The following is a 24,523-nucleotide window of genomic DNA, read 5'->3' on the forward strand; positions in this document are numbered from 1 at the left end:
AGAAGTTCAAGGGCACAGTGGGAAAAAAGGTTGCTCTTTTTGGCTCAGAGTCACAAATTGCATTTTAGTTAACCACTAAATAATAATATTGAATGTAGGATTGCTATTACAATTCACAGAAACTCCTTTCCCCAAGACTACTGAGAACAGACTGAACGAAAGTACTCTCTTCCAAGAGGGACAATGCTTTTAGAAGATGTAGCTCTGTTCCATATGGACTACATTTTATTTATAAATTACATTTATATTCTAAATTAAGAAATTGTATGTTCCATGCAATTGATCAGATACCATAATAACTTCTGTCTTCTTGATGTACCTGGCCTGAATATTAATGGGAACATTAACACCCTTGTTTTTTTTTTAGCCTCCAATGCTGTATAAGCTCTATACGCCTAATAATGGCTCCTAATTTGTTTTTTAAAAAACTATAATTCTTATTTTCCGTAATTGCTAGGCTCTTTTAATTTAATGTATGTTACACATCTTCACAATTTCATTTAGGTGAATGGCGAAAATTTAAAAGAAAAAGAAATGTTTTTTATGCCGTAAGACAAATTATGCTGTAAGGAAGCAATGCTGTAGAGGGATAGAAGAATATAGGTACAGTGGTTCTGGATCTACATATTAAAGGAAAGTCTGCATGTGATCTTGTAAGTGTCAAAGCAAAGCCACTTTACACAATTATGCAGGTACTCACACTAACTCTTATGTACCTGTCAGTAACTCAGGGAAGCATTTTACTAGGAGAGAACTTTTTTTCACGAAATCCCACATATAGCTGTCTTTACAAAGTCCATGCCTTTGCTAGGACAAAGAATGAGTAAAGGTGACCTCTGCACACAAAATGAATTAGAAAATTTCCCCTCAAAGCTGGATGATAACATTATTTTCCTGTATGTTGATGTTGTTGATAGCTGCCTACGATCACCCATGCCACTAGATGGCAGCAGCACTCTTTCATTCTAAGACTTCTTTTCTTTTCTTTTTTTTTAAATCTCACTCTCCTGGATAGTTGTTCTCAGCTCTGCTGTGCGATGATTTAAACAACGCTTTGATGCTGTAGGATGTTGGTGTTCACAAATAAGGTCTATCCTTTTCTTTTTTCTGAAAAGATAATATACTGCTTTTTCAAAGTCAATTAACACTTAGGGCAAAGGAAATGGGGAAAGCAAAAGGTCACTTTCTAAAGGGTTGCCTTGAAACCTTTTGGTAAAATTCAGGTGTCATCCAGGAATTGCAAATCACTGGGAAAAGAAAAGAAATAATAATTAGTTCATTTGTTTCTTGATAACTCCCAATAAGATGGCTTAATACGACTTTTCTGCTTTATTTCCTAGTAATGCCCATGGGGTGCTCAGAGTGCCGGCTGGTAATTTTTATGTCTTGAAGTCATGAGGGCAATTGGGATGCTTTTGGGCCAATTTATGCATCAGGACAGGGGTGATGGAGAGAATGGCTAAGATCTCTGGACTGCACTGTGGTTGAATACGCTTTACAAAAGAGAATTGTCCAGAGAGTGGCATGAGACAGGGAGGAGTGAGTAACTTCCTCAGAAAGGTGATAGACCGAAGGACAAAAACGATAAGACTTTCTTCTACAAACAATCAGCCTCCATTCCAACCTCCAAACAATGCTAAGTGAACCTAAGCTTCAGGGTCAGTAAAATAAGGATGCATAAGTTTGGAGCTACTTCATGTTTTGACCTCAGATGCACTTTGAAAATTTAGATAGTTCACCAGATGAATGTCTCAGAACATAACAGCTCAAGGTTTTAATAACTCACTTGAATTTCATTTAGAAAACATGCCTGGACACCCAGGAAACAATAAGCAGATATTAAAAAGTAACCAAATGCATTGCAAATGAAGTTATTAACAAACTGACTTTTAAATTTACTGCTGCTGGCAGGGTGCCCGTCTGGACAGGTCGAGTCAGGGCTGTGCACGGCTCACGCCTCTTGCAGCATGCCTCACCGTTGAGATCGCAGTCACAGTTCTTTCCTATCTTTTTATATCTATTTTAATATAAAAAGGCCTTCACTCGGTTTAATAACCTTTTCCTTCTTGAATAAGGAGTTTCTGTTTGCAATCACATGAATAGAAAAAGACCTGCTCCAGAAACTCTGGGAGATTATTGCATGCCTAGCTGCAAAAATAAGGTTTTGAAAGAGCAGAAGGGATGGAATAACTAAATAATGAGCAAATTCTTGGGAGGTAAATTATTATTCGGGATTTTTGAACTGGTCTTTTATAAAAGGAAATAATAATAATTACAATCCTGCAAATACTGTTGCCTGGTGGGAGACAACAGTAGCTTTGCTGGAGAGGCCGCTTGGCGCCTGCACTTTGTTCTCCTCCCACATCGCAGCCTGAAACATTATAAACCCAGGAAAAGACCCGCATTCACCCAATGAGCAATGTCTCCTTGCTTTGATTGTGTGTACGTTTCAAACCATAAAGGGATGGCATGATAACGTATTGCTTTTCACCTATAGGGGTCAGGGTAAAGTTTGAGGCTGCAGTTAAATGATGTGGGTAGATTCAAAGTACAAGGTTTCATCATTAGATATATTTTTGTTGGGGTGTGGGTGTCATCCGAACTTCCACAGGTCAAAACTGGCAATCGAATAATTGAAATTAATAAAAAAGCCAAGGAGAGGATGCGTTGGAAGCTGTACTCATAGGTCAGATCTGCCTCTCCAGTTCTAATATTTCCACTAGAATTTTTCGCTTCACTAAGCCTTGGCTTTTGACCTTCTCCACCGCTTCTTTTCATATCTAATAGGACCAACTTTATTCCCAGTTCTCTAAATTATTAATGATAACAAATACCTCCCTTTGTATTCAGTTGGAGATTTTAGCCGCATTTTGACAGAGAAGTTTAAAAGTCAGAGCTGGTAAGAACCACTGGGAAGGTCTGGTAGAAGGGGATGAGTGGGGAGGAGTGATTTTTTTCCTGCCGTCATCAGGCTCTCTTGGCCAGGGAAGCAGTGGTTGATCTGAGTGAGAGCAGTGCTTAGTGTGCTCTTGACCTATTTCTGGTCTGACCGCGTTCTCTCTCTCTGCTGTCATGAAGAACTTCTGTGTCTGTCTTCCCCTCAGCTTCCCCATCAGCACATTCACTATATGTGACACAAGATTGTCACCAGAATCAGCCTGGGCTTCCCCTTGTCAAAAGGACCCTCAGCACCTAAGCCCCTCTTCCAAAGAGACTCAGCCTCTGGCAGGTGTTACCAGCTAAAATTGAGTTTCGTGGCAGCTGCTTCTGGAACCTCAGAGACAGTGCTGCATGCCCGCAACAGGGGGACCATGAGAAGCCTGCGCATCCTGTGCACATGAGCCAATTGCCGCTGCTCCCTCTGGAGGATGTGGTTGCTTGAAAATAAAAGTTCCTTTCGCTTGTGTGAAAAAATGTGTTTTTTTCCTTTGCTTGTTTACTTAGTTTTCACCATTTAAAAATCATGCAGCATCTTCATTAAGGGGTAAACGTACAAAACATTACTCCTACTTGCATTTTTCTTTAGGTGCCAACACACCTCAGCAAGCTTTCAGACAACAGTCACCTAGCAACTACTTTTTCATACATTAAATGATTTCAAACTCTCACATTTCCCTCCACAAGAGCTGTATATTTTGCCTTTTCTTTCCATCTTACAGCTCAAGGAAAGAGCAAACAAGAATGAGAAAGTATATTGTTTAATCACAAAATATCAGTTTCAAACGATTGCTTTTAAATATATAAATATTTTCTGTAATAGTTTGCTAATCCATTTCTGACTTTCTATTTAAGTGGCAAGATATTAGTTAGAATTAGGTTCCACTGAAAGTGACAAAAACACTAAAGTTTAGTGGGTTTAACGAGAAAGAAATGGAAATGCAGTCCTTGGCTTGTGCCCCAGTGCCAGCATCCCTGGGAATCCAGGTTCATCTCTCCTGACTGATCTGCCATCCTCAACATGCAGTGACTGTGTCTTTGTCAGAGATGGCAGGGCCGGATTTTGTATCCTCATTTCAGGCAGCAGGAAGAAGAAAAGAGAAGTAAAAAGACATGCTACCTCACTTCTTTTATTTTTATTTTTTTGAGACAGTGTTTCACTCTGCCACCCAGGCTGGAGTGCAGTGGCGCGATCTCGGCTCACTGCAACCTCTGCCTTCTGGTTTCAAGTGGTTCTCCTGCCTCAGCCTCCCGAGTAGCTAGGATTACAGGCATGTGCCACTACACCCAGGTAATTTTTGTATTTTTAGTAGAGATGGGGTTTCACCATGTTGGTCAAGCTGGTCTTGAACTCCTGACCTCAGGTGATCCTCCTGCTTTGGCCTCTCAAAGTGCTGGGATTATAGGCATGAGCCACCGCATCTGGCCCATGCTCCCTCTTTAAGGTGACTTCCTAGTGGTTTCACCAATTGCTTCCACCTATATTCCACTGGCCAGGACTTAGTCATAGGGCCACACTTAGCTTCAAGATGGTCTTTATTTTGTGCTTTCGTGTGACCAACTAATATGCAGGGTTTCCATCACTGCATCAATAAGGAAGACGAAGATGGATACTGGAGAACACCTAATAGTCTCTGCCACAGGTCAAATATTAAAATTTAGGTAAACTGCAAAATTTATATTGCATCACTAACTCTTTTTTTCTTTCCAGAAGAAGGAATGCTTTCTTCTCTTGAGAGCAACAGATAACTTATTTAACAGAGGTGAAAATGTAAATGTTATTTGAGTTGTAATTGTTAGCAGGTTCTGAAAACATCCTAGAGGATTAACTACAGTCTTAAAGCACATGAACAATATTGGAACATGATCGTGCTATTTGTCACCCTGGGGAATCTGGAGTAAGGCTCATGTTGGTGGCCAACCAAGGCTATTTTTATTAAATAGTGTCCAAAAAAGTATATCTGTATCCTAGCACTGGAGGCAAGGTTGTAGAGTACCAATCATTAAAAGAAAACTTATCTAAACTGAGGAAAGTGTGCTGAAAAGCATCTAGGGGTTAGGTAAGTGCTGGTGACATTTTAATGATACACTTGGGTGGAATGAGAATGAAGACTGGAAGTTCACCCACAAAATGGGGCTCCAGGCCTTCGCCAGTTTCCCCGTTTCTTGAGTTGGCATAATCACCCCTTCGCTGGTTGAATTATTTCCCTTGGTTATATCAACACAATTAAAACATATCTAGCATATGGAGGCCTGATTCTTACTCCAGAGATGCTGCTTTATTGATCTGGGGTGGGTTCAAACAGCGACACTGTTTAGAAGTTTCCCAGATAATTGTAGTGCCAGGCAAGGCTCCAGGACCAGTGGGTCAGATGCCTTCAAGGGAGACTCCTGTGAATCCATGCAATAATCTCTTAGGGAACATCATCAAACTATTAATGCCAGGAATAACATTCTAATCTTTCAAAGGTGGCTCAATGCATACATTAAATAATTGATCATTTCATGTTTATATTTTTGAAGATTCAATAGTAGTTAAAAGCAGTGACTTGGAGTCATATCTGTGTGTGTTCAAAATTCAGTTCTACAAATTAATAACTGTGTGCTTAGGACCAGGTACCTGATCTGCTTTTGTTTCCTTACCCAAAACATGGAGATTTCTTTATGAAATATCTGTCTTTAGAGTTTGTGTGATGGTTAAATGCATGATTTACATAAAATGCTTTGTGAACTGCCTGATATAATCCAAGAACTCATAAAATAATGTTTTATTATTCCATAATTGTATTCTTTGTAGGGCATCTTTAAATATTGCTAGGATAGAAATTATTAGTGTGCTTTTATAAATTAAATAACTGTAGGTAAGTTAAAGACCTTATTCTAGGTAACTGGGTTAATCATATACTTTATCATATTTGTTGAGTACCTCAGCAAATATGTGGAAAGCTCAACTGCTTTAGGCCCAATGAGAACATACAATATACATGTAATATTCAGTGCAGTGAGGATGGCAGGTCATGTGTAGAGAAGGGACAATGTAGAAATATGAGGTGGTATATTTGTAGCAATGATTGCATATCAATTGCCAAATCTGTTTTCTCCATGTTCCATTTTAGGGTATAATGGAACATGTCTAAATTTCCCTTGCAATTACTGTTGTCAGATGACTTAGTTCTTGCAATTGAAATGTGAGTAGAAACAACATGTCATTTCTGGATCTGGACCTTCGTTTATTGGGTATATCTTCCCTTTCCTACTAAATGGGACATGCATGTGACAGAGTCCCAGCTTTGACCATGTGGATCATAACATACTGGGGAACGGGGGAGCAACAAAATGAAAGAATTCTGTATCCTGAGTGGCAATCCTGATGTGAGCTGTCCTAGGTCATTGGGCAAGAAATAAATGAACTTTGTTCTTTAAGTCAACAAGTTGTGAGGTTTCCTTGATAGGAATGCATAGGCTCCACGCTGTAGATACTATTGACTAAGCCTCAAATTGATAGCATCTTTTAAAGACAGTGACTCTGTAGAACAGTGCTTCTCAAAGCAAAGTTCCCAGGGTGGTTGCAGCAGCAGCACCGGCAATATGTTAGAAATGCAAAATCTCAGGCCTCACCCAAGATCTTCTGAATCAGAAACTTGGAGGTGGGGTTCAGGCATCAATGTTATAAGAAGCTCTCCACATTTTTCTGAAGCAGACTTAAGTTTGAGAATCACTGTTATTAGCGGGGAGGAGGTTGGGAAGGGGTAGGGACGTTATGGAGAGAGCGAGTAGTGCTTTAAGAGAATGGGCATTGCAAATAAAATGCCTGGCTTTGAATTCTGCCCCTTACTCTGTAGGTAAACTTGGGCAAGTCAGCCTCTCTAGTCCTTAGTTGCTTTATCTGTAGAATAGGGATTGTAATTATACATCAGACATAGGGTCATTGTAAGGATTAAACAAGTCAATATGCATAATGCATTCAGAACAGTGCCTGGCATATAAAATGTTAGCTACAGTTACCATTTAAGCAATGAAGTTGTGTTGAAGAGTGGAAAATTAATCTACACAAACAAAGGGATAGTAGAGCAGGACCATGTAACTTCTCTGTGGTGACAATGTGTCTAATATTTATGAAGTAAGTAACACATATTTGTTGAGCGTTAGCTCAATGCAAGACACTATGTTAGGTGCTAGGGTAAGCAAAAAGGAAGACAACACAGGTCGGCTCTGAACGACCTTAAACCCCTAACACCAGCCTAGATTCTACTGTCTTAAAATGATCCACTATCCAAAATTTTAGGCAATTTCTAGACAATTTCAAAATGTGGTTCTCAATTATTCTCATACTCATTAGAATACCTGCCAGGGGGCCAGAGTTAAAAAGCGTAAAGGCATTTAACTGCTTGTCTGTCTGCTTTCAATATTCTATAAAAGGAAATTTTTTATAAAAAAATCTGGGCTTTCACATCAAGTGATGATTTGACATTAATGCATATACCTCTACAGAAGTGATCAAAGAACTGAGGTTTTCTATCAAAGCACCTGATTGCACTTTAAACTTTATTTTTCTATGGTATGGCATGAACTGAGAATACTTCTTATGATTTAGGAACGATTATGCACTTCTATCTTCCACCCGACTCTATATATAGTAAGTAGTAAGCTCCGGCTTACAAGTATGGTAAACTAATCACAGAAAAGAAATTCCAGTGTTTGGTATGAAGCACAGTTCATCACTGCAGCTGGAAGGGCATGTATTTCAACACTGAGAAGGCCTTGCTAGTTTATTTTAGACTAAAACATTAGCAAATGTACACAGAAAAGGCCATAGGATTTCATTTCTAAGCAAAATTTAGTCAAATATTAGGAAGTTTGCTCTGTTCTGATATTGCTTTTAGAACCAGAGATGCTGTTTTCCTATGGGATTCATGCTTTTTCTTATTAGAAGCTCAACATCTGTTCCTCAGCAGCTGAAAGAGAATATGGCTAATGGATTAAAAAAAAAAAAAAGAAAAATCAACAACAACTTCAAATCTCAGCAGTTAGAATGTAGGCTTCTGTGGCTTGGCATCCTCAGAACATATATTCTGAAATAGGGTAAAAGAAAAGAGAGGTTTAGGTTGAATATCAGAAAAAATTTCAGAAAGGCAACAAATTTGGAAGGAACAAAAAGTCTCCCTGGTAGGGGAGACCACACTTAGAATCAGACTGAACAAAGCACAAAAACTTATACTGAGAAGTACTGTTGACCAGTAGAAAAATGAATCTTATGCCCAAAAGATAGTTTTTCCAATTTTAATATGTGATTTTCTAATTACTTTCTAGAAATATAAAAATTTAACTAGTTTGAGAAAAATTGGGGTACTTTCTGGGAACATTGACTCTTGCTCTTCTTTATGTGATTAAAAACTTTAGACAAAAAATCAGATGTATTTTAAATCATTTCTCTTTCTCCTCTAAGTGTACTTGAACTATGATAAATATAATAATTTGTTATTTATAAGACAAAAAAATGGAATGACAAATAAGCATTTGTCTTTGGGGAGAATAAATTTATTTCAACCTGATCTATATGGCCTCCTCCTAGAAATAAGCCATCATTATAAATGAGGAGAAAAGTATCAATTAATTATCTTCCTACATGTAGGTGTGCATAAGAGCCTAGGCAGACATATTTACACAGTTACAGTGAATCTGTCCTTCTGGCAAATGTAACTGAAATGTAACTGGAAGCTTATCCTCTTTCTTTCTTTCTTCTTCTTCTTTTTTTTTTCTGAGAGAAAAATTCAGGTGAAATTCACTGATGTTTGGTAGAAAGCCCAGTTGCCTCTGTGCTGATTTGTTCTGATTTATGGCTTTGAGGAATAACTGTGCAAGCTCCTAAGTTTGGTTAATGCAGGCTTTGCTTTTCAATTAATTTAGGATTTCAGGCACTGCGTAATTCCAGTATTAACAACCCATTGTTACCAATAAAAACAGAAATCTCTTCCTGATCCCTGCTAGGTTGCAAAGTGGAGAATATAGAGGATTATGATTTACCCCTTTGTACATTCTCAGCAAGGCTTTAAGGTCCTTAAAACATGACCCACACTAACCAGCCTTAGGTTTCCACTGTCTCATAGCTCAGTTTCCACCAAAATGGGGATATTTACCCAGAGATCTGTGCTCAGTTGGCTCTCTGCTTCTTGACTAGCTTCATTTACTGCCCATTGAAATTCTAACCCCAGGTCAAAAGCCATCTTTTCCATGACATATTTTTTCATCCTGACTGCTGCAAGCCATCTGGTCTCCTGCCCCGTCCCATTGTTTATGTCTTCCTTATTGTCCTCCTCATAGTCTGTCTTCTGTACTGACTGGAGGCTTCCATTTCTCTCCAGCAGATTATACTTGAGGTAAAGACTGAGTCTTATTCATATTTCCTGCAGCATCCAGGGCAGTGCTGTGTGTAGAGCATGTGTATGACATTAAACCCATCCTCGCAGAACAGTGAGTACAGGCTTTATGTCAGGCACCGGGCGAGCACAATGAAAGACTGTAAATTACTACCCTCAGAAAGTCCTCAAACTGGTTGGGCAGTTGAGACTTGTGTAAATATATTTATCCTATGAGAAAGAATTTAAGGGAATTCAAATGAAAGAAAACCATGGGTATTCACAGAATGGAAAAAATTACTATGTGTGTGTTGGGGTAAGGTATGAGGTAGGTGATGTGTGTCAGAGAAAATTTCAAAGAAAAAGTGTGGGCTAGAATACAAAAAAGTCTAGGGGACAAAGATCGGAATTGATTGGGATGCCAAAATTCCATGCAGAAAAGATCTAAGGAGTGAAAGATCAAGCCAGATGACCAAGCACTTTCAAAGCTCTTACAGGTTTGGGGGTAAACTTATAAAAGGCCCTCATCGCCAGTTAAAAATCTTTGTAAAATAACATGTCAGGGAGACTCATCTGGTGTTTGTGTGTAGGAGAGGAGATGGGAGGTGAGGAGGTGAGGGGGCAGGTGGGATGAGAGAGATGAGGCTGGTCGTACTAAGGTGCTGCCCATATGGCTCAATCTTTCTGACACATGTACAGGACAGTGCACCGTGTAAAAAATAATGATTATTTACACTTACAGGATAAGAATATTCACAAAAGATTCACTGCTTTATAAAAGGCTTAAACATAAAATTCCTTTAAGAACAGTAAGCACTTCTGGTGAGCACAAAATTATTTTTCTTCAACTTTTGTAAAACTCTTTCAGAAACATAACTAGTGAGTGATGCAAAGCACATCTGTATCCAATTATGTTAGAGCACCAATATATTTCTGGTTTATAAAGAAGAGTATCCAGAACAGAAGCTCTTGCACTATTTCACTCAGATTTTAAGGCGTCCTCAGAGTCCTACTCTTTAGTAATCTCAAAAGTACATATTCTAAGCTGCATAGCGATAGACAAGACAGTATGAAAACTTTCTAAAAACTTACATATTTCTCCTTAAAAACTGCTGCAATGACTTCTTAACTTCCTTGAGATATAGGCGATTCACAAGCCCACTCAGCCATCTGTTTTGCTTGATTTCAGACCATTTCCATCTTTTCCAGAGACACAAAGGCAAATAATGTATGTGTATCTATGTGCATGTGCTTGCTTGAGTGAGGGTGTGTGCACGCACACGCGCGCACACACACACACACACACAAGTTTGGATTGTGTTCTCCATATCAAGTTTTTGAAACTGTTCTTTTCTTGGGGCAGTATATAACCAGTTATTTAGCAATAATGTTTGCCTAGAGTTATTTGTTTTGAAACACAGAATCTTTTTAAACCTTGTTTCTCTTTTAACAGCAAAAAGAAGCTTGAGTGATTATAGCAAACTTTCAAAGTCAATGCCACTAAGTGTCCTTTTTATGGTAGCAGAATTAGTTTTTATTTTCATACAGTATTCAGGAGGTATGAAAGCAGATGAACCTAGGAATGCCACAGCTGACAGTGATTCCACCCACAACAATTGAGAAGAGCACAAATAACCTCTCCCCTATAGGGACTATGTACGCCCTGATTCTTTTTGCTATGGTTTAAAGTCTAAAGGAGAATTGTCAAACAAATAATAATACTAGGTAACTTTATTTATTTATTTATTATTTATTTATTTATTTATTTTGAGACGGAGTCTCACTCTGTTGCCAGGCTGGAGTGCAGTGGCGTGATCTCGGCTCACTGCAACCTCCGCCTCCCAGGTTCAAGTGATTTTCCTGCCTCAGCCTCCTGAGTAGCTGGGACTACAGGTGCATGCCACCATGCCCAGCTAAGTTTTGTATATTTAGTAGAGACAGGGTTTCACCATGTTGGCCAGGATGGTCTCAATCTCTTGACCTCACGATCTGCCCGCCTGGGCCTCCCTAAGTGCTGGGACTACAGGCGTGAGCCACCACTCCTGGCCAATACTAGGTAATATTTATTGAACACTTATTAAGTGCTGAGTCCTGTTCTAAGTACTTTGTATGTATCAATTGGTTGAATCCTACAACTACCTGTATGATGTAGATACTATTGCTATGCCCTTTTACAGATGAGGAAATTGAAGCACAGAGGAATTGAACAACTTGCCCAAAGTTACAGAGCTGGGAGAGTTGTGGTTTGAACTCAGACAGTTTGACCCCAGACCCTGCCCTGGAACCAGTTGCTCTGAGAACCAATTGTTTACCTCCTTTTTATTCCTTCCAAAATTCCATGGCATTATGCTTTTTTGGAGGAGTAGAACTAGAAAGAAGGAAGCCATTGTAAGTGAGTAGAATGCTCATATATGCTATCCTGTTTTATTATTTAATCTTTATAACAACTCTTCAAGGTAGATATTATTCGTGTGGGTTACAGATGAAGAAGCTTGCCCTATAGTTTGTAAGTGGCACCAAGATTTGAACCTGAAACTAACAAATGACATTTGTTCAGTGTCAACTGTGTGCTGGATGTTTTATATCCATTTTCTCTTTGATCTTTACAATGATCTTGTAAGGAAGGTGTCTTTGGGAGTCATAAGAATGAGGTAAGTAAAGAAAGTCTTGAATGGGTTTCAGTCTGTGGAAAGCAGGCTAGCTCTAGATTGCTGTGCTATACTGCAAGAAGCATCTGTCCATGTGATGAGTAGGAAATAGATGTATCCATCACATTTCACTTACTTTCATTAGGAGATAGTGAGACTGTGAGAAAAAGAGCACTGGATGAGAGTCATATATTGGTGGGAAGCTGACTGAAATCAGGGAAAATACCTCACTGGGAAGTAAACATCATACATTTGGTTGAGATGTTTCTTGCTGTGCAGAAGATGATTCCCATTGACACATCTGGAGCTGAATGCTTGATCTTGAGGTAGAAACCATTGGTTTTCCAGTGAGTCCCTTCATACGTCTAGGTCAGCTTGTCCCTTGTTTGAGACAGGTGGGAGCTTCCCATGAACTGCTCCCACGATGTCTAGTTAGTATTCATGACTATATCATTTTCTAAGATTTTGGGTCATAGGTTTCTCCTATGTTTCAATTACCCTAGGACCCATAAGTGTACAGCTGTTAAAAAAAAAAAAGTTCCTGGTGTCAGTGACAGGTACAACTCTCATTTTCCAGATGACAATCTGAAACTTGAGAGGTTTAGGTCCAGGATTAGACAATAAATGTCAAAGCTAGGGTTGAAGTCAGATGTACTGACTACAAAGACACATATATTGGAATATAACAACATGCTGTCTTGCTTGTAGAATTGTTCACCTCTTTTGCTTGTATAATTTTTATTTCAGCAGTTTCTTCTGTTATTCAAACTATGTGAAGCTATTCCAGCAAGCTTATGTAATAGAGAATAGCATAAAATGTTTGCCAGTAATCTTTTGGTAATCTTAGTTTTCCATTTGACATTAAAAATCTGAGATTTCTCCTTTCCATGCTCATGCCACTGGTCCTTAAATTACTACAGAATTTTTCTAAACGTTTTCCGGGCCTCAACTTTCTTTCCTTTCCAGAAAATTGTCAAAAAAAAAAACATAGATAAGGTTACTAAAACATAGATAAGATCACAAAAACCTGTAGTAGCTCACCACTGCTGATAGCAATTGTTCCTGGCTTCCCTGCCTGTGAGTCTCAGCTTTAGAGCATTTTAAATATCCAGGTGCTCATGTTTCACCCTAGACGGCTACTCCTAATTTGGTCACTGAGCAGATAGATTATGTATGTTTACATAATTGTTTAATTATAAAGAATTACATGTACAAGATAATAATGTAGGATATTTTCTTGACCCCTTCATGGGTCTTGCAACAGGGGTGCCTCATTTACTCAGCCTGCCCTGCTCAGACCCTCACAGAAGGGAGCATGTGAGTGAACAAGTCCAGGAACTGGAGAGATCAAGTGCAGGAACCAGATGCTTTGGTGCCGGTAGGAGCAAACTCTGTGTGGGGTCCCGCGGCAGCACCCAGGTGGAGTGCCTGTGTCCCAAGGTCCCAGAGGCATGTTACAATGCTCTCTTAGCTCTGCAGTCCACAGACAGCAGTGTGTTATCAGCTCAGTGGGCCCTTTGCCTCATCACATGGGGTGGTTGCCTTCTGTCACCAAGGCAAAGGTCCAGTGTGACAGCCTTTTTGGGTACCTGCACCTAGTGCATCCTGAATTCATGTCCTGTGCCCAGGAAGATGAGGTCATGTGGCAGAATTGAAGGATAGTGAATGTGGATACTTTTATTGAGTGATGATAGCAGCTCTCAGCAGAGAGGGAGGAGCTGGATAAGGGACTGGAAGGGAAAGTTGCTCTCCCCTGAAGTCAAGCTGCCTCTCTGCCTCTCTCTTCTGAAGTCAAGTTACTTTGTCCAGCTGTGTCTCTGAAGTCAAAGTCGCCTCTCCCCTACGTCCGGCCACTTCTTCCCGACATTCAGCCACTTCTCCTGTCTGCTGGCTGAGTCTGGGGTCTTTATAGGCACAGGATGGGGGCAGGTGGGTGATAGGTAGTTTTGGAAAAGGCAACATTCAATTGGTAAAAATACATTATTCAGAAAGAGCCAATCAGGAGAGAGTGGGGACATAGGGATGGAAGTTCTCACTTTGAGCCATGAGTTTCAGGCTTTTTGGGTCAAATATTGAGTTTTGCCAGAGATCCATCCCAGTCTGCCTAGAATTTCTCTGCCTCCTGTTGCTGTCAATAATTTTCCCATCTCCCACTCAAAAAATCCCAGCTGAGTGCAGTGGCTCATGACTGTAATCCCAGCACATTGGGAGACTGAGGCAGGAGGATTGCTTGAACCCAGGAGTTTAAGACCAGCCTAAGCAACATGGTGAAACCTCTGTCTACAAGAAAGACAAAAATCAGCTGGTTGTGGTGGTGTACACCTGTAGTCCCAGCTACTTGGGCAGCTGAAACAGGAGTATTGCTTGAGACCCAGAAGGTGGAGGCTGCAATGAGCTGAGATTGTACCTCTGCATATCAGCCTGGGCCACAGAGCAAGACCATGTCTCAACAATAACAAAAATCCCAGCACCAGAGGGCATACATGAAAGTGAAAACTCCACATCTCAATGTCAAATCCATTCTCAGGCCTCAGGAGCAGCTTCTAACTGCTGCAGCTTTTGTTCCTTTGCAGCTGGCTCCGTAATACTGGATAATGCCTTTATAAGAAAAGCTTCATGAGTGAATCTGATTCACACCAAAGGTCACCAAACACTGATCAGAGAATGAGGAACGAACTCCTTGAGCTGACCTTCAAGGTTCTTCATAATCTTATTCTTTAACTACATTCTGTGGATCCGATATTCTAGGCATGGGCATTTTCAAGAGTCTGCTGCCTTTTCTTACATTGTAGTCTCGGACTGGTATGTCCTAACCCCCATTTCTGCACATTATTATTATTATTATTATTATTATTATTATTATCCTTCAAGTACTCACTTCAAATGAAATTCCTCTATGTAAGTGCCTTCTAAACTATTTCCCTATTGGTTTTTCTTTACCATATTTCTTTGATATTTCCAGAGCACAAATTTTATTCTATTCAGAGCTATTCAATGACATTGCATGCTATGCTCATTTAAACTCACCAGAATCCAACTGCAGATCTTCAGAAGAAAGAGAGAGAAAGAGAGAGCAAGAGATACTACATAGGGATCTGTTGTTTCCACAGCTGGAATCAGTTCTCCTGTTGTTTCTTATGGTGTTGGTGCTTGTGAGGCTTTTAAAGTACAGTATGAGTCTACTCAATTTTCGCATTACTTGCTGATTTTAGAACCCCACTCTCCCAGCAAGATACTAGTCCTAGTTAATTAGTTGTTTGCATGTGTCAGTGCAACCTTCTTCTTTGATCTGCATTTGGCTACTTACACATAACATACCAGAGTGCTTTCAAAGCACATTATTCCTTTTTTTTTTTTTCAACTTGAGGAAGGAAGTTAACTACTAAGTATAGCTTAGTGTTTAAGGTTCCAGGCTCAGAGCCAATCTGCTCAGGTTTGAATCCTAGCTGTACCACGTTTTGGGGTAGGATGACACATATTGTTCTGGTTTGCCCAGGACAACCCCTTTTTATACCTTCCGTTTGTTCTAGCATCCTGTGCAGTGACTGCCTCCTTTCATGCTCAGATGTGTCCTGGTTTAGACGATTAACTCTATCATCCCTCTCCTTTGGAGTAACTTTGTGCTTTTAAGCCTCAGCTTTTTCATCTGTAAAATGTAGAAAATATCATTACTTAAAGGCTGTTTCTAAAACATGACGAGCAGAATTCTGCATAGAGTAAACTTCTAATAAGCATTAGCCACATTTCCCTCTTCCTTTGTTTTCTTGGGAAGGGTGTGTGCCTAAGTCATACTGTCCTAACTTGTTCACCAGTATTCAGGGATATGGCTTACTCATGCAATACTTCTTCCTTACAGTATTTACTCTCAATATTGGAAAATTGTTGTAATATACAGATTTTGTTAGAACAAGACATTTTATTGCTACATGTCAAAAAATGGTCTATATATATATATGTGCATATATAGAGATACACATATATGGTCTTCTCTGTCTCTCTCATCTTTCTGTACATATTAGACACACATACAAATGTAAGTTTATAAAGTCTTAATGTGAATGCCCCCTTCTCCCTTACATAAGGTATTCTAATGCATTACAAAACATGAGGAATGTTCAAATAATCTGAAGAATTATAATCAGTCGTTTATGCCTTTATGAGCTCAACTTTCAAAACTGTTTAAGAATCGAAAAAATCAGAATTGTTTATACCTAATTCTAGTGCTTGGGTCTAATAGGATGGGGATAAAAGCACATTTTAGGAATATCCTGTAAAAAATTCAAGGCAGAGACAAAGGCAATGATTAATTAGGCAACAAGTATATTAACATAAAACTTCATATGAAATCTATAGATTCCCAAGCTGCTTATTAGACCTTGGTAAGTCGTTGAGAATCTGAGCTGTAAGAAATGAAGCTCACTTAAAAAATAACTACCAAGAGCAGACCAAATGGTCTTCGCTTGATAAACCTCGCTCTGCCTGCCTATACAGTTGAGGCAGAAGCCATCTAGAATGCAGTCTCCTTCCTAAGCCTCTGAGAAGCATGTCATTACTCTTTCCACTTTGAAAAAGGAGTCTGTCAATCAAGAAAGCTTATTTTACAGGTCCTGGAGGGGAGGAATAACACATTCAGTTTTACTCTCTCTTATTCTTGGTAACACTTCATCTCAAGTGCCCATTGAACAGCACACTCAATAACTTGGGCTGAATTATGATGAAAGCACTCTCCTGGGAATCCAAGGCATCTGTATCAACCAGCCGTTGCCATTAGTTTACAAGGATGCATAAAATCATGGGCCAACATAAGTAAATTATGGCCAACCCCCGTGTGGGAACCACAAAAAAGCCGACCCTAATGAAGGATTAGAGGAAATCCCTTTGTTCTCAGGTTCTCTCAGATCTTATCACCTGTACTACCTTAAGAAGTCAGTGGGTTACACCTCATTTCTTCTTTTTATAATGACATATGTGACACTTCATCCTGGGATTCAGATCTTAATTTTTCAGTTCCTTTTTTCATGTCATGATAAAAAATTCTGGAGAATATATAGTGTCAGCTTCCTTTCAGATTCATCATTTCAATATTTTCATCTGCTACAACTGTTTAATTAGGAGAGGCTTCTTTTGGTAGGCTCCTTTTGTATAACTTTAATGAAACTGAAGAGCATGAAATGTGGTTTCCCTGCTTTTAAATGAGGCTACTTTTATAGAAATAAGATGAGAAATGGAGAAATTGTTGAAGTCACAGTGCATGAAATTAAGGGAGCCCAAACTGTATTGGCAATAGTGCTTTTTTTTTTCTTCTTAAGTTGATGTTTTTGAGGAGCAAGGTTGTGGTTGCTAACAAACAGGGTCGATATTGTTTTTTCTTTCTTTTTTTTTTTTTAAGTTCATAGACTTCTCACAGACGTGCCCTTAAGGATTCAATTTGTTGTTGTTTAGGAAAATTGTATGAAGCAAACTATGTGTGATAGAGGGTTATTTTCAAACACTACAAAAGCAAATTAATGATGGCATCTAGTTATGAGATAAAAACCCGATATTGTGCTGAATCTTATCTAAAGCAGGATTTAATGTGTATGATTGAAATAGAATAATTACAGAAAATTTCAAGCCACTTATGCTATAATCATAAGCCATGTACTAGACTAGGAGGCTCTACCAAACCAATAATGTGTTAGTTATGTGCTCATCATCAAATTTTCTATCATACTATTCTGAATCTACAAATATAAAGGGAGGAGATGACGCAGCAATTTTCTCTTACATTTAATCCGTGCAACAAGCACTTTGGAAATTCAAGTACCAAATTCAGGAAGTCTATATTGCCTTGCTAGACAGTGTAGGCTAACTTGATAACTGGCAAAATATTTTTTCAGGTTTTGGAACTGGTTTTAAGTGCCAGTTAAAAATTATAAAGATATTGAGTGCAATTTTCCTCCTGACTTATAGGTGATTAGCACTCTTAGCTAAGAACAAGGAGATATTAAGCACCCCCAAATTTAAAGAAAGTACTTCCAAGAGCCAGTAACAATTGGAGCCAGAAAACTTGATCAGGAATTTGTTAGTTCACGAACCCCAACCTGCACTCCAGCTCCCTCTTGCTCCCCATCTCGGACTATCCGAAGGAGAATTGAGGCAGCATGGAGAAAGAGAAGCTTCCTGGGCTTCCATTTCATGCTGCAGATGGACTCTCCTCTCTTCATGGGATAGTTGGGCATTTGTCAGTTTCTACCCCATCCATCGTGTACTATGGGGGAGTCAAGAACTGAGGACTTTGGGAGGTGTGGAGCCAGATCTGGCTTCCTTTTTCAGAGAACTGAGATGTGGGAAGACTCCCTGGGCTTCCTGATGAACTCTGAAGACAACCCCTGAAAGAGTCAGCTCTTGGACTTCTGGAATTCAGAGGGCAGAGATGACCATTCAAGGATAGCCAGGAAAGCATAGACAACCAACATGGAAGGGACTACAATCAAGACAGTTTGTTGAAAAAACATGCCCCCTTCCTTTCTCTCTTGCCTCCCATCTACTTCAACCCCAAAGAAGTTAAGCTTTGAAAAAGTACAGGGATGAATTAGTCTCTCCCTCCCCATCCACTTAGAGATGCTGAGCAGGGGTGAAAGAGTTGGTCTTGCGGTGCTGTCCACACTCAAGCTTCTGTAGCCACAGACCTGGCTTTGGCAGGGGGATGGCTGAGGCAGAGATCAGATGTAAACAGAATATGAGAGAAACTTTAAGCCGAAGAGTGTTCTAATGACTTGAGATTAAACTGAAATGACTGAAATGTAAGAGATGAGCTAAAATGTTGGACAAAACAACATTGAAAACAGTGATTGGGAAATAAATATCTATATCCAAAAAGTCAGTAAAATCAGTTTCTCTTTGGTTCCTTTGATCATGTTTGATCTCTTTTTATAATTTTCTTTTGAATTTAGGATAAAACCACTGGGGTATTCACTCTTAAAATTACTGAAATTAAACAGATAAAAACAAATGGTTTTTTCATAACTGAAAACTTCTGGTGTTTCTTATATTTAATGACACATGAAAAATATTCCTCAATACTATGTTCAGTACCTGGGTGATGGGATCATTCATACCCCAAAACTCGGCATCACGCAATACAGCCAGGTAACAAACTTGCACATGTACCCCCTGAATCTAAAATAAAACTTGAAAAAATAAAAAAAAATCCCCAAGAGAAGAGATTTCTGGAAAAAGAGGACAGCGGCAGCTACAATAACAACAACATCAATGAAAGCCAACAACGTTGTTCTGGCTTCTCTGTTTGTATAAATCATTTAAAACAGTGCAAAGCCAAGTAAGTAGTATTAAATTTATCTTTGTAGAAAGACTAATCTTCTATTTTACCTCTAGGAGATGAATTTTCTATTCTTCTTATGTCTCTGTCCTAGGTTGAGTTTTCTGAGATGCAGACTTAAGGTAGAGAGTGGTGTGTGGGAGGTTTATTGGAGAATACTCTCTGATCAACACGTGGAGGGGAGTGGAAGGACCATGACTGGGTAGAGTGAGGGGTCGAACTGTGATGCAGTCACAGCAAAGACTGGAATGATGCTTCGAGTTGCTCTGAATTGCAGCCAGGAGACTGGGCCTTTCTTTATTCTCTGCATAGGCCAGTCTTGGTTGCAGGATGTTCTTGGGAAGGGAATATGACCTGACTCAGCCGAGAACTTCAGCTGTCAGTACTCCCAGCAGTAGTGTGCTGGCAAACCAGCTCTCTGAGGCAGGGGGAGCAAGGCGGGGAGAAATTAATCTTTATTCGTGGTGTTCACCAGTTTCCATGGTGTAACTACTCCCATCATTGCTAATTTCAAACTATTGTCATGATGTCACTGAACAATAGTTATGAAGAGATGCCCACAATTTGCCCTCACGGGCCAGCAAAAGCTGGCCCCAGCACATCATTGGTTCAGTCCTTGGAGAGGGGACCTTGATGTGCACCATGTCGTCTACCACACTGACTTCTTTTCGTGGAAAGCAATACTTTTAAAACTTAGAGAATTTTCAGCTACATAGGACACATCATAATAAATAGTTGCAAGTTTAAACTCAGTGAAATTAAACAACCTGGAGTGAGAAAGTCATTTATATTCCACGATATCCCAACAGCCTATTCTGATTTGGCAGTCTCAGGCTCTGAACCAACAACAACATCTGCTGACAATTTATTCTCTATTATCTTCTACCTGCTACTTAACCTACTGGATCAAACAATTTTGTGTTCACTGTTCCCTATCCACCTGTAAGTTGGAGTGTTCACTAGTAAAAATGGAAATATAGCTTTAGAAGTTTTTTCATGCCCTGATTGGAATGTCTTTATAAAGTTTTCAAATATATACCACGTACTCCAATCCACCCCTATCTTTGGTCAATTTCTAATTTATTTCCCTTTAATTTCATCCTGATTGACTTTCTGAATGCTTAGGAAGGGCAAAAAGTCTAAAAGGCCTGCTGAAAACAAAAGGGAGAATAATGATGGTGCACTTGACATTTCACTTTTCTGGAACCCATAGAGATTGCTAACCTCCGAGGCATATTCACTTTTCTCACCCATTCACCAGGATTGGCCTGTTCTCTATCTGAGACTCTCTCTTCCTTTGTCTACTATGGAGTTGACTATAATAGCACAACTTTTTTCATTCTTGTCTTTAAGAAAAAGATTGTATGCTTGGAATGTAGGAGGCATACAATAAATATATATTGTTTTGTTAAATAAGATTGTATTACTCTAACAATTAAAGGAAAGGAGAGAGGGCCTATGAAATAAGACACAAGAGAAACTGTCAAGACAATAAGGTATTTACACTCTTTATAAGAATAGTTATCACCAGTCATCACTGAGGTGTAAAATAGATGTGTTTGATTTTTCACCCATTTAATTTCTTAGTCTGTCTTCTGTGGATTGATTTCTTTTATTTCTAGGAATGGCTCCCTGGAACTGCCCTACCTTAGACAAGAAAGTTTCATAGTCCCTACAAAGGAACAGAAATGTGAATGATATATTAGTTACAGCAAGGGCTAAACTGTTGTTAACAAAGGGAACTAGAAATGAAATGGTTTGAGTAACATAGAGATTACTTTTTAGGTAACACTTTAGCCAGTCCAGGTCAAGGTGATAGGGGCAGCTATGTTTCATAAAGGACAATCTTTAGGGACCCATATTCCATTTAACATGGCTGTGCTTTATGTCATGAAAAGGGGAGAAGTCCAGAGCAAGACATTTCTTTTCAACAAAGTAACAATGAAGTTTCAGAATGCACACATTGCTTCTACTCACATTCTACTGGAGGCTGGAAAATGAAGTTTCTAGTTGGATGCTGATAAAAATATTTGGGGGCAGCTAGTAATTTGCCACTCTGGCCTCCTAAATATCCATGTATATGCTTTCTTGCCATATACAATTCCCTTGGGATTCTTTCTGAATGTCAGGGAAGATAATTATGGCCTCATTTATTACAGCCTCAGATGGAAGCTCAGGAGTTCTGGGTGGTAGTTCTCTCCAACAGGTCCAGATGAAGTTCTGCATTCTGGGGACCATAAGACAATAGACAAATTACCAGCCTAGAACATAACTACAACTGAATGGGAGAAACTCCCATTCAGAAAAGGGAAGAATTACAAACATAGCAAATTACAAAAATAACCTGAGTTATTAAAGACTTCCTACCCCAGCAGTGGAGTATGGTCCGTTTTGGCCCTTCTGGCCACCCCTGGTTCTGCTTTCTGAGATAGCTCCCTTGACCATCTCCGCTGTGGACCCTAGCTTTATCCTTTGCAAGAATGCTACTTGTGAGTTTTTTCTCTATTGGAAATAGGTATTCAGTATGAGTTTTTGTAGCAGCTTCTGGCTGAAGCAGCCTGGGATTTCTTGGGTAGTACAATTTCCTGGAAAACTTGGCCCTTCAATCCATTTGCTTCCAGTCATTTCTATTGACAGGTAGCCTTACATAAAGATTTTTTCTAGACAAGTTCTTATTTTTGCTGATTCTCTTACATTTATTGGCATCTCATCCTGTTCTGTCCCTCAATTCCGTAGTTAGGTTTGGACTGGAAGATAACAGTCTAATTGATTTCCCAACTATATGCATCTCATGCCAAGAAGTCTTTATGAGAGGTGATTGAGAGAGGCTCCAGGTAATAGACTTATGTTCTGCTATCCTTGGGTGTACGACCAATTGTACTTCCAGTCCTGTGAGACTTCACATTTCTGGATTCTCAGGAGAATTACATTTCTGACTGCAGGCAAGGAGAGTCTCACTTAGTAGATCCATAGCTCTTTCTAAGTCTGCTTTCGAACAGGCAAATTCTTGCCTGAGTTTATCTCTTTCTTATGTATCTTGTTAAAAGTGGTAAGGAATAATTTCTATTTTTTTTCTCACTGCTTCTCCTGGAGCAATAGGCTTGTTGGGCATACAGTTTGCTTTCTGAGTTATTTAGGCGGGCATTTTACCAAGTGCTTTAGCATGGCATAACAAAGGGTATAGAAGTACACACTTTCTATTTCTTCTGCCTACCACCTAATTTTTAAACTAGTTTAGAAACATATTTTAGGCTTTGTTACATAGTATCCTGCTTCCAGATACTAATGTCTATATTATTATTATATCTTGCTGTTGTTATTATAATTATTCTGTATTATTGCTAACTTCTTAGCTAAGCCAAGGTAAAGGTTATGTAGCTATAAACATATAGTTATATGCTAAATATATAGTTATATGCTATAAACATATTTTAGGCTTTGCTACATAGTATCCTGCTTCCAGATACTAATGTCTATATTATTATTATAACTTGCTATTGTTACTATAATTATTCTATATTATTGCTAACTTCTTAGCTAAGCCAGGGTAAAGGTTATGTTGCTATAACATGGATCCCTAAATACAGTGACTCATATGGGAAATATTAGTCTGGCTTGTCCAGGCTCTGAGGGTAGTTCTGCTACACAGTATCACCGATGGACTTAGATTTCTTCCATTTTGTTGTCCATCAACCTAAATGCCTGTGCTTATGGAAAAGAGACAGAATGGATCTGGGGGAGCCAGGTAGTAGTCTATCACAAATCATTAATGCGTAGGCCCAAAATGTTTCAAATAAGGTTAAATAATGTTTTAGAAATACTACACTATGCTATCAATCTCATTGTCCTCTTTCATGAAGAATAAGAATCTTAAGCCACTCTCCACAAATGCCTTTTTAAATGGAATCATGAAGTCATCCATTGTTTTTTAATTGGAAGTAGTCCAGCTCCCTTAGGAGGCATTGGGACATGTGTGGACATGCGTTGGGTATTTGAGATGTCTGGTGCTATGGTGAATGTTAGTTCCCTCCTAAAATTCATATGTTGAAATCTAACCATCAATGTGATGGAGTTTAAGAGGTAGGGCTTTTGGGAGGAGATTAGGCAAAGCTCTCATGAATGAAATTAGTGCCCTGATAAATAAGATTCAGAAGACTGTCTTGAACTTTATTCCAAGTGAACACACAGCAAAGAGATACCTTGTATGAACCAGAAAACAGACTCTCACCAGACACTCAATCTGCCAGCATCTTGGTCTTGGACAGGATTTGCTAGAAACAAATTTCTGTTGTTTACCAGCAACCCAGTGTATGGTATTTTTGTTATAGCAGCCTGAACAGACTAAGACATCTGGGGGCTGCTACTGGCATATAATACCCAAGAGCCTCAATTTAAGGTGAGGGGCATTCCCTTGTAATTAAGCGTTGTCCCAGCGAAAATGTGTGAAGAACGTAATTTCTTATTCCATGGCCTTCATTTTCAGGTCAATAGTGTCAGATATGAGAATAGAATGCAGATTTTTCTGACTAGCTGTTGGGTTTACTTTCTAAAATCCAGTCCCCAAAGGACAATGTTAATTTACACTTTTTAAAAAAAACTGTGCTTTTGGTTCCCACCTGTTCTATAGCAGCAGCAACTTACCTGCATAATTCTGTCTTTCCTTAACATATTTGAAGAGTCAAACAACTGTTAAAAATAGAATGACAGTTGTAGGGGAAGGAAATAAAAATCTAAATTCAGTATCTCTATATATACATATACAAATAGGAATATAAACAGACAAATATAGACTATGACTATAAAGCTTTAAGACTTAATTTTGGTATGAGGCTTGTGAAATCAATCTCCTTGCTTTATATTCATGCTTGATATACGTGGGTGCTATGCTTTCCCCATTCAAGTGAAAAATGTCCAGGAGTGAAGTGTGGAGGCATTAGGTTAGGAGCGATTGAGCCCACGGGCAATGGGCAGAGCCTGTGGATTGAGTGTCAGATCAAGGGCTGGTGTCCAGAGTGCTGGGACCAAGAAATCAAGAGAAGGAAAGAAAAAAAGGAGCCACCTCAAGTCAGGAAGAACACAGGTACCATTGCAGACCCAAGCCAGCAACAGTTTCTTTATCCAGGTAGGTGGTCAGGGAACAAGCCAGGAGGCGCCAGGAAAAGGGGGTGTTGACATTGAATAACACAGTGCAGCCTGGGTGTTTGTTATATGTTTCCTGCTGCAAACCAATTACCAGCAACAACAAAATAAGGTAGGAATAA

General features: G+C 39.2%; 1 long non-coding RNA gene across 1 annotated transcript; it reads right to left on the minus strand.

Annotated features, from left to right (window-relative positions):
• Nucleotides 1-952: 952 nt before the first annotated feature.
• LOC105377417 (uncharacterized) lies at nucleotides 953-21,471 on the minus strand. Its single transcript, XR_939191.3, has 3 exons — nucleotides 21,240-21,471; nucleotides 15,456-15,587; nucleotides 953-1,247 (listed from the first exon to the last, which is right to left on the minus strand). It is a non-coding gene; the product is annotated as an uncharacterized LOC105377417 (long non-coding RNA).
• Between the last annotated feature and the right edge of the window lie 3,052 nt (nucleotides 21,472-24,523).

The sequence above is a fragment of the Homo sapiens genome, chromosome 4 (genome assembly GCF_000001405.40).
Source record: "Homo sapiens chromosome 4, GRCh38.p14 Primary Assembly".
In the NCBI taxonomy this organism is placed as follows: Eukaryota; Metazoa; Chordata; class Mammalia; order Primates; family Hominidae; genus Homo; species Homo sapiens.